Raw genomic sequence first — 11174 nt, forward strand, 5'->3', positions numbered from 1 at the left:
TTCCAGTTATAAGATATACCATTTTTATTTTTTTTTTTTTTGAGACAGAGTCTCACTCTGTCACCCAGCCTGGAGTGCAGTGGTGCGATCTCAGATCACTGCAACCTCCATCTCCTGGGTTCAAGCAATTCTCCCTGACTTAGCCTCCCAAGTAGCTGGAATTACAGGTGCCTGCCACCATGCTCGACTAAATAAGATGTACCTTTTTTTTTTTTTTTTTTTTGAGATGGAGTCTCACTCTGTCACCCAGGCTGGAGTGCAGTGGCGCGATCTCGGCTCACTGCAAGCTCCGTCTCCCAGGTTCACGCCATTCTCCTGCCTCAGCCTCCCGAGTAGCTGGGACTACAGGCGCCCACCACCACACCCGACTAATTTTTTTTTTGTATTTTTAGTAGAGACGGGGTTTCATCATGTTAGCCAGGATGGTCTCGATCTCCTGACCTCATGATCCGCCCGCCTCACCCTCCCAAAGTGCTGGGATTACAGGCGTGAGCCACTGCGCCCAGCCAAGATGTACCATTTTTAAGGAACTATTAAAAAAGAAAAACTACTGCCAGTTAAACTGTGCTTTCTTATCACTTAGAATTTCTACGTTATTCTAAGTGCTGTTTTGGACTAATTTGACATAGATTTTTATCATGTCACTCACTCTAGTGTGCATACATACAAAGGAAAACATAAAAAAACTGATTAAGGGAAGAATCCAGCTTCTCAGAGTAGTGTTCAATTCAGATTGTCAACAAGCATGTTTTTCCACACAGTGTTTACTCTGCCATCAAGAACATTGATGATGGAACGCATAATATAAGATTCCATCAAGAATTGAAGGCCATTCGTTTTGGTCTCTTGAGCGTTATGTAAAACTAGTCTACTTTTGATTCCTGCTTTGGGAATATAGCTAACCTTTCATCACTTACTTCCTCCCTTCTAAACCATTTGGTTTCCATGAGTTAAAAACGTGCACCATTCCTGTCTTAGGGAGTTTCTTCCAAGCCGTGGATGCCCATTCTGCAAGTCTTGATGCTGCCACTTTTGATGTTGGTGTGCGCATTGACGATTGCACCTGACTGCCTTAGCCCACAGAAGTCATAAGGTGCCATTGATCCTACTTCAGAGATGTTAAAATGTATTTCTTAGAATTGATGAAATATAGTATCGTCAGCATCTTTATCTGCAGTTGAATGAATAATGGGCTTCTGCAGAGGCAGATTTGGCCTGAATCTGATACTAATGAAACTGTCATCTCAGGGCCCCTCACTTGCATGGACCCTTCCAAGGCTCTGTCCTTGTCATTTTGTATTATTTTTCTTAAGGCCCCCCAGATTGAATAACGTTCGTGTCCCACAAAATGTGGATCCGCCTCCAAGCCTCGATCCTCATTGCTCTTTCCTCTCATGTCTTCCTGCCCTCATTTCTCTCATTTTACCCAGAGAATTTTACCCACAGCCCTCCCCTTCTGTCTCCCTCTCCTCCAGGGTCCCAGCCATTCCGGTGCTTGTACTGTGCTGCTACTTTCCGTTTTCCTGGAGCATTGCAGCACCATGTCACCACGGAGCACTTCAAGCAGTCAGAGACCACCTTCCCCTGTGAGCTCTGTGGGGAACTCTTCACCTCCCAGGCCCAGCTTGACAGTCACCTGGAATCTGAGCACCCAAAGGTGATGAGCACGGAAACCCAGGCCGCAGCCTCACAGATGGCGCAGGTGATTCTGGGGCCATCAGCTACATTAGAATGCTAATGCATGGTTCCTAAGGCTTCTCTAGAGGTGGCTCTGTCATAGTACCCAGAGATACTCTTTGGGGATCTTGTAGAGAGTCTCTCTGGACTTCTTACAAAACAGAACAGAAAATTCTAGTCTCCTGGTGGCCACATGGGAAGTGGCCCTTAGGTAGAGGGAGCCTGGAACAATAATTTCCAAAAGAGGAACAGCTTGGTTCCTCCTCCCAGTGCATACGTCCCTGCCTCCTGAGAAACACCGTGGGGTGTGGTGAGAACTGCGGGAAACCTCGGAGACAGAGGAACACTTTGTTGGGCAGGGACTGCCTGCAGTTGAAGTGCTTGGAGAGCGCCTCTGGGCAGGACACAGTACACACTTGCACACACCTGGGCCTCTCACCTTTACCTGGGCAAAAAAACCACCTCTTCTTGATGCTTCAGGGCTAAGCTTGATCCAGCTTCCCTTTGCTTCCCAGATCCTCTTTTACTCTTCTTCCCATCTTCTCCAGAGAGGGTGGGCAGAAAAGGAAAATAAATTCAGGTCCATCCATCGTCAGTAATTTGTGGGTGGGTTGGAGAGGAACCATAAACTGATTGAGGTTTTGGTCTGTTAGACTGTCCCGCTGTCCAGTTCCAGATCAGTCATTTATAAACCAGGTTCTTACAGGCCTCTGGGGAACAGAGGGGAAGTCAGGTAGGCAGGACTCCCGCCAACACTCTGCTGTCATATCAACCAAAGGTGCTCTGCTTTTATCTTTTTTGTATATTATGGTTCTTGATAATATGTCCTTTGGGGAAAAGGTGGGGCTGGGGCGTCCATTTCTAAAAGAAAAAGAAAGAAAAGCAGTTTGAAAACTACTATCCTGGATCATTGTTGATTGAACATCACAGTTGATCTCTTCTCTCCTGTAGCACGGAGAAGTAGCTGGGCTTGGCTTCCTCACTTGTTCCTGCTCTCTGCTCTTCACTGATTCTCAAGAGCAAGGTGGCTGTGGCCTCTAGTTTAAAAATATCAAGGGCATCTAGCTCTTCTGGGATCTATGGGTTAGAAACATCAACTGGGAGGCTTAGGCGGGAATTGGATATGCCTAACCACAGACTCATTCTCTCTCAGTTGGAAAGGTGGTCTCTAACAGATTATGCAGATTTGGAAGGGACATAGGTGGGCTGTGGAGGAGAGAAGGGGGCACTGGCCCCGCCAGGCTGGTGAGCTGAATGAATGCGTGGAGTCACAGTTCATCCAGTCTTCCTCCTAAGCTCGGTCACTGTGTGGCCTCCTGGGAAGGCTGTGAGCCTGCGAGAGGTCCAGAGAGGCTGCCCCGGGCCCACCTGGGCCTGTGGTGGATCAATCCCATTCCCATGTTCCAGGCATGAGACCAGCTGGCTTCAGTGGCATTCCTCTCACATGGCACTCACCTCTGCAGTGTCATCCCAAGACAGGAAAGCCCAGTGTGAAAAACAGAGCCAGTGTTCGCTGGTGTATAATCATAGAGTCCGGGCGCCCCGAGATGGCGTACTGAGCAAAATTATAGCAATTTAGTGCACAGTTATTTAAATTGTTTGCTGGCCTTCTCTTTTGCATCGCCAGTGGGTTAGACTTGCCTCTTCCCATTAGGCACATGTAAGTGCTCTCCTCAGGTGAAAACATAAATATCATCATTACAGCATGAGATGAAAACCATGTAAATCAGGGAGCCAACTGTGAACACTGCCCAGAGCAGCCTCACGGTCTTTCTCTTTCAGGTGATCCAAACCCCAGAGCCGGTGGCCCCGACAGAGCAGGTGATCACTTTGGAGGAGACCCAGCTTGCCGGGTCGCAGGTGTTTGTGACGTTGCCAGATTCTCAGGCATCTCAGGCCAGCTCTGAGCTCGTGGCGGTGACTGTGGAGGACTTGCTGGATGGCACAGTGACGCTGATCTGTGGTGAGGCCAAATGAGCAGCCTTTCATCCGGCAGAGCCTTCCTGCGTTTGCAGCAGAGAGGAGGCCCCACAGCTTGCCCTTTGCCCTCCATCCCTGGCTGTCCTGAGTGGTGAGCATCTTAGCTTAGCACCAACCAACACAGTCTCACCTAGAAAACAGATGGAAGCTTCGTTGTTCTCATAGAACCAACAGCATCTGAGCCCTCAACACCAACAGCACCATCCTCTGTAGCAGACAGGCCTCCCTCCCCACAGGCCCGCTGCTGCGGCCTCTATGACACTGTCCATCCCCAAGTGACATGTGGCTTCAGAAGTAGAGTCTGAAAGAGCAGTGGGATGGGAGCTGGTGACCAGGGTACCCCAGGAGGCATGATGTGCCGACAGCGCTCAGTGGGCAGAATGGCAGTTAGATATGGGACTTGGCCCACAGTGGGGGCTGCAAATGCTGCCACTGCCTCTGGCCATTTAAAGTGAGAGGGGCACCAACAGACAATTCGGGGACCTTAGGCCCCTTCCTGAGGCACACTTGGCCCCTTCCTCGGTCCTATCATCCTACCCTCTGCTGGGGTTCCCCCTCCACCCAGTGGCCACGCCCAGCACCCTATTGATGGCTATAGGACAGGTAGCCCTCATTTCCATGCCTGATAACCCCTTGTCAGTTGTCAGCTCTTCCCAAAACAAAGCTCTGGAGTTTCTGCTGGAAGTGTTTAATGTGAGGCATCAGCTGCTAGACAGTGTCTGCCTTTCCAGGACATTCTTCTTGGTATTCCTTACCTGAAGCCTGGTTCCCACAGCTCTTCCGTGTCATCTTCATCCCCTTCCTTTAATCAAAGGCTGAAATCTCTGCCTGACCTGGCAGCCTGGCTCCCTCTGGGTCATATGGTGCAGACTGTGACCAGCACCAGGCAGGCAGTCCTGTCTGCGTGTGGAGGAGCAGCCGTGACTGCCCGTGGCTCTGCTGCCGCCCACTCCCTGCCTTGTGAGTGGCCTGCTGCCTCACCTCCCGCAGGCCGCCACACTTATTGCAGGTCAGTGATCCTTTGGAGTTTGAATTTCACAAAGCTTTTTTTATCTTCAGTTCCTAAAATATAATCTGATAATTAATGGTTTGTGGAATCCATTATGAAGTGCAATTAGATAGATGTAGGTTCCTGCCGTTTGGAGAGAATGACTAGCATTTATCTTCTTTTCCTTCCATGCCAAAGGTTGGAGTCTGCTGGTGCGGTGTTTACACACCAGGCAGGGCTGTCTGCCACCTTGTGTGGCTTGACCCCCTGTGGAGGGGAGTGCCTGGTTGGATCCCACACTGGCAGAGATGGGGCCACCCCTTCCTTCCAGGCACATCTCACATTGCCATGTACAGAGGCAGGAGTCACGTTTGGTCACCATGGAAGCTTTTATTGCTCCCACATGGTCAGGTCTCACCCTGCTTGAAGCGCAGAAGGCACAGCCTTACTGACCAGCACGCCCACTGACTGGCATCTGCCGGCTTTGTGCAGGCAGCCCCGACGGTTTCCACAGCGAGCGCCAGCTCCGGCCAGCCTGGGACAGCTCATCCCAGCCGACTACACCTGCTTCTGGTCCTGTCCACATTTTGATACGCAGATCACTTGAGCTTGTCAATTAGGGTTCTGCCATTCTGAAATAAATGAAGTTTCTAAAGCAGAGTCGGCCTCAGAAGCCAAAAACTGACCAGAAGATGGTGCTCAAACCTTTAAGACTTCATCTCCATGTGAAGGGCTCACTGTTTCTACCAAGGCTGTGCCTGTATTAAGGCTTTTCCGTCCTGGGAACTGTCAGTCTGGGAGAGCTCTTGATCTGCAGGTGGCAAAATGGCACTGAATATCCCCTTGGCAGCAGAGAAAACCCACTGAAAGATCGTAGAGTGGCACATGCTTACAGGGCATTGGTGCCAAGTCCAGTGGATGAGAATCCAGCCCCTCACAAGCTGTGGGATGGGGCTTGGGAGTTGCAGTGAATGTCATTAAAATTTCTTCCAAAACAAAACTAGAAATAATTGCTGAGGGCTTATAGGGAAGTGATTTAAAAAGAAAAAACAAACAACAACAAAAAAAACTCTTCGGAATAAAGAGGGCTGTAAATTTTGAATTCCAGTGTCAGATCCTTTCAAGCACTGAGAAATTCTTTCTCAGGTTTCTTTTTTTGGGGGAGACAGGGTCTTGCTCTGTCACCCAGACTGGAACACAGTGGCACGATCTTGGCTCACTGCAACCTCTGCGGGCTCACGCAATCCTCCTGCCACAGCTTCCCAAGTAGCTGGGACCACAGGCGTGAGCCACCACTGCTGGCCAGTTTTTGTATTTTTTTTTTTTTTTGTAGAGACAGGGTCTCGCCATGTTGCCCAGGCTGGTTTAAAACTCCTGAGCTCAAGCAGTTCTCCCACCTGGGCCTCCCAAAGTGCTAGGATTACAGACATGAGCCACTACGCCTGGCCAGGTTTCTGTTGGAGACCCAGATTGTGACAAGACATTTGTTTTCTTCGGAATCACCAGATTTGCAGCTTACTGTGCCGAGAGTGGACTGGCTGCCGGGGCCCATCAGATGCCCTCTGGCCCATGGCACACTCAGCAGAAGGCACAAACCCAGTGCTGGTTCTCATCAAGAAAGAGGGGAAGGCCCTTCCCGAGTTTACTGTCTGCTCTGAGTGGGCTCCGCACTGGCTGACTGATTTTATAGTCTTGCTCTCTAGAGAAGCCCAGGCATGGATCTTATAGGAAAACTTTCTGACTCTGCTTGGCCATTTTATCCTTTTCTCCTACTTCTGCCCAAGAGACCTGAATTGCTGCCATAGAGGACAGTGTTTGTGTGGTCTCCTGAGTCCACATCGCTCGCTTCCATGGGGTCCCGGTGTTGTTTTTGCCTCGTTCCCCATAGGCTGCTGCCCTTATGGCCTCTGGACTGAACTCTGGGGCCTTTGGGGTGGTGTGAAGGAGTCTGTGGGCTTCTTGGAACACATGGATCTGTTCGGTGGGTCCCCAGACCTCTGCTCCCAGAGCTCATGGCCCAGGTGGTGAGGAGGGAAAGGCAGTCAGATTCCAGGCTGGAGTGTGATTCTGTGGGAATACTGGGGTCAGTTATGGAACAGGACTTGCCCATCATAGGTAAGTGAGACAGCAAATAGATGATTCAAGAGCAAGGATTACTGCGGGAAGGTGAGACTCCTACTGTCCACGCGCATGAGCAGAACCTGGAACCAGAGGGGCAGGGACCAGGGGTCTTTACTCATTTATTTTATGGGTAAAGAGACATGAAGAGACAGCCTCTCTCTTCTGTCTCAGAAGCTCTGTGTTTGGGAAACTTTGAGCCCAGTGAGTAGCAGGGTCTGCAGTGTGAGTACCAGGTTTCCCTGGCAATCCAGGTCTCCTCTGAGGAAGCATTCTGACTTCCCACTGACCACGGAAGGCATGTCAGCTTCATGCCTCGGGCTAGAGTTCTGATAATCGGGGCTGAGGGGTGAAAAGAAATCCAGTCAGACAGACAGTGGGGAGACAGGTCCCTGCCCTTTATTTGCGGGATCAATCAGGGACTCCCAGAAAGGAAGGAGAATGGTGAGAAGGGCCCTAAGAGTTCGTCTCTCACCTGGGGGCTGGTGACGTGGTCACCACAAGCTGAAGACAGGCTAATGGGGTGGCGGGTGTGTGTTTAAACCTCACGTGCCTGGAAGCTGCACATTGACCAAAGGAGGGAGGGAAGTGCTAACCATGTATAGAGTGGGCAGGCGGTTCCAGGGAGACAAGCAGCATGTTATTAAATTGGGCCTAGGCAGTTGGACGATAATGGAGAAAAAGCAGGGATGCTATAATGAGTCCTCCCCAAGGGTGAGTTCAGCACCCCAGCCCTGTTCTGCTTGTATCCCAGTGATACTTGGGAGGTAGGAAGAAAATGGGAGTAAGAGAACAATTTGGGGCTGAAGGGAGTGTCAGAGGCACGTTGATCCTTGTTTTGTTGTCATGGAAACTTCGGGGCTGGTGGGACTTAGGCCAAAAGCTCAGAGGCACAGCCAAAATTTAGAAGCTTGCTACTCCTACGACTCGGCCTATAAGGAAGAGAGAAGCTGTCTGTACTTTGGGGACTACATTGCTGAAGGAAAAAAATCACTCCCTGGCTAATTAAGATTGCTTCCAAATTGGGGGAATGTGTGTCATTTCCTTTACCAAGGCCAGTCATCCCTGCTTCCACCCATGGTCAGGACAGTCAGCCACTACGTGATGCTGTATAAATTGGATTACAAACCATATTCTTGTTCAGCTTGCACTAATCTATATAAATAAAATATGTACTTTGAAAAAAATTAGGCTACATGAGTTTCAAATGGACTGTGATGTTATAGACCTGCTTTCTCTTTGGTTCTGGGCCAGTGTCAGACGGGGACAGGGGTGATAGGCCTGGTGTCCTAGGGGCCATTTGTGTACCTTGAGGCCGTGTTAACATGGCCTGGGGGAAAGAAAGCTCTCCTGTCACTTGGAGTCTCATTCCTAAACCCTCCTTCCCAGGGAGCAAGTGTGGGGCAGGGTTTCAGAGCACAGGCTTTGGTGTCCAGCCTGGGTACATCCAGCTGTCCCGCTGTCTAACTGACATTGTGTGAGATGCTTACTCTCTCTGAGCTCCCTCCTCCTGGCTCCCAACTTTATTATAAAATGGGGAAAATGATTGTGCTTGCCCTACAGAATTGTAGTATGAATTAAAAGTCTGGATTTAATGTATTTAATATAGAAAATTTTAGCTTTTATTAATAAAAGTTTTTGGCATACAAGTCAACTATTCCCTGCATTCTCTGGCACTAAAGAGAATGTTCATTCCTGTATCTTTATGTAGTCTTTTTCCTCTCTGAAGCCTTAAGGGATCCTTATAACACCCACTTTTCATTTATCTCTTGAATCTCAACTGCCCCGAAAGTACAAAGTGCTGAGCAGATAGCTGTAAAATAAACTAAACCTTTCTTGGTGAACAGCTGAAAATGTCACATTGCTGGCAGCCAACAAGGAAACAAGAGCAGGAGACCCGGATGGGATGTACATGAGTTCTGCAGGAAGCACCCAGTGTTTAAGACGAGGGGAGGGGCATCAGATCCCGCAGCCCTGACGCTGTAGAGAGCAGAGGAGTTGGGGAGGTTCTATGCTCACTCCTCCTGGGACAGTTCTGGAGGAGCACAGATGGACCCTTGTTCAGAGTCCGCAAGTGTGTTTAGGAAGGAATGCTGCCCTGCCTAAGTGCTGTCTTTGGAGAGCAGGGCTGGAGCTGCCTATGTCATATTTTGGGCAGTAGTCCTGAGAGTGTCCCAGCCAGCTGCAGTGGGTAATTGTAACATACAGTTGGGCCCCAGCCACATTTGAAGGTATGCAGAGGTGAAGTGCTGCTGCAGGTCGGGTGGGATTGAGCAGAGCTAGGAAGTGGGCCGAGGGGTTCCCTCAGTGATCTTCTGGGCCAAGGTGGCTGGCTGGAAGGAGCTGAGCAGCATGGTGGAAAAGACATGGGCTTGGGAGCTTCCTAGCTCCACGTCTTACTAGACAGATGACCTTGGGCGAGTTTTTCCTGACAGTGACTATGAGAAGAAAGTTAACATTTGTAAAATATCTGACAGAGTATAGACGCTTCGTAGATGATGGCTGTTCGTGTTTATAATATTTTAGAAGGGCCTGGAGGAAGAGCTGGGGCAGAGGACAGCTGGAAAGGAAGAGCTGGGGCGGAGGACAGCTGGAAAGGAGGTACCTAATGTGTCCTTAGATAACAGGGTCTGAAACCCAGTGCAAGGGTCTCCAAAACCAGGGTAAGAGGAGGCATAAACCCAGAGACCCCAGCCCAGGCCAGAGTGAACAGTGGTACGAGGGGAACAGGATCTCCCGGGTTGGAACAGGGGCTCTCAGCTCTTTGGCACTGCAGCAGAGGGGTCGCATCTGAGTAAAGGCAGAAACCTGGGAATGTTGGGTGGGGACACATCCAGTGAGAGCAAAGGAAATGGAAAAACTAAGTCTGCAGTGATTTTTGGCTTCTCTGCCTCTTTAGTGTTCACTGTCTATCCTTTTCTCCATGGGCTTATGCTCAGGATATGTTTGGAGTGAAAGGTTAAAGGGGCTCTGGCACCATGCAGAGGTGTCCTAGACCAGGGTCTTTACTCTTCATTAAGAGATGAAGAGGTTATAAGGACGTGGACATAGAAACCAAGTTCATGTTCTCGAGAATGTTCTGCAGGCTTTTCTTCGTGCATCTGTCCTGCCTTTTGGCCTTTCACCAGGGCAGGTGTAGGTCCCATGCCCACCAAGACCTCTGTATCTCCTCCGCATACTCAGACTGGGCAGTACTCAGTGGATGCTTAGCAGATGCTGCCGACTGCTGGAGACAGGGACTCTGACCTTGGGCTCTCTCTTCCGAGGGGTAGAGGAGCTGCTTCCTATTCTGCAGCTCTGCACCACATGTTCAGTATGAGCTGTTTCTAGCCAGTCGTGGAATACGCTATTATTCCATCTACTCTCCATCCACCTCATGTCTGCAACCTTGTGAGGCAGAGCCAGCACTTGGCGGGGTTGCGTGTGCTGCTAGAATCCTGAGCTCCATCGTGGAGAAAGAACTTCCCCCAGCTTTCCCTGTCACTCCCTAAATCTGTATTCTGCGATGTCCCAAATCCATCCACTACACGATTGAAACCCTAGGTATGCAGTTGTGTATTTGGTGCCTTAATCCTCACACAGCTTCATCTCATTTGAGATTCTAACCAGTATGAGGACAGGGACCACATCCTATTTACTGCCCTCGTTTCTCTGAGAGTTAGGAGTGCTGTGTTGGGCACACAGAGGCTCTGCCAGAACCAAGTGGTACCCCTCTTGCTTACCTTCATTTCTCGGCTCAGGGAGAACCCAACTTCCACATTTTACTCTGGTCATTGAGGCTGTACCCCAAGTTACCCGTGGGCTGGTCTGTCAGAACATCCTCCTCTCTTTGTCCTCTGAGGAGAGATTAGCAGAAGGCTAAGAGCAGCCAGCCAGGCCCCACCACTCCCAGCTGCTCTGATCAAACACCATTCCTGCCGCTTCTTCTAGCTCTGGCTCCCCCGGCGCAGGCCAGAAACAGCTGATCAAACACATCAGGACAAGGTCAGTCCAGGGACCCACGGTCCCCTCCAGGGGAGATTTCACAGCCCTGCCATCAGGAGGGTCTGATAAAAATGGGCAGGGGGCGGGGAAGGGGGCCTGTGGGGCTGGCACAGGACCAAACAGCTTTTCATTTTGTTTAAGGTTGAAACCCCTGTGCTCCACACAGGGTCCACACCAAGCCAGCATTTCCAGAAAGGCAGAGCTGGAGCTGAGGAGACGGGAGCTGTGTGTGCACGTATGAGTATGTGGGGGTGAGAGAGATGTCAAGAGCACATGTGGGTTTGGGAGCATGGGATTATTAGATTGTCACAGGATGACTTAAGATCCTCCCCCGCTAAACTGCGACCCCTTCAAGGGCAAGGACTGTGCATTATCCTCGTTCTCTCTCTTACATGCACATGTGTGTACCCAGCAGTTAGCCTGGCAC

General features: G+C 50.2%; 1 protein-coding gene across 7 annotated transcripts in view; it reads left to right on the plus strand.

Annotated features, from left to right (window-relative positions):
• Window positions 1-8412, plus strand: part of ZBTB40 (zinc finger and BTB domain containing 40) — a 102246-nt gene extending 93834 nt beyond the window's left edge. For 6 of the 7 annotated variants that reach the window (XM_011542499.3, NM_001083621.2, NM_014870.4 and 3 more), the window contains 2 exons: window positions 1476-1702; window positions 3460-8412. In XM_011542499.3, the coding sequence (XP_011540801.1) occupies window positions 1476-1702; window positions 3460-3654 (422 nt within the window). In that variant the 3' untranslated portion in view covers window positions 3655-8412. The remainder of the gene's footprint in view (window positions 1-1475; window positions 1703-3459) is intronic. The other variant, XR_946804.2, reaches the window with a different exon arrangement.
• Window positions 8413-11174: the final 2762 nt, after the last annotated feature.

The sequence above is a fragment of the Homo sapiens genome, chromosome 1 (genome assembly GCF_000001405.40).
Source record: "Homo sapiens chromosome 1, GRCh38.p14 Primary Assembly".
NCBI classification, from domain to species: Eukaryota; Metazoa; Chordata; class Mammalia; order Primates; family Hominidae; genus Homo; species Homo sapiens.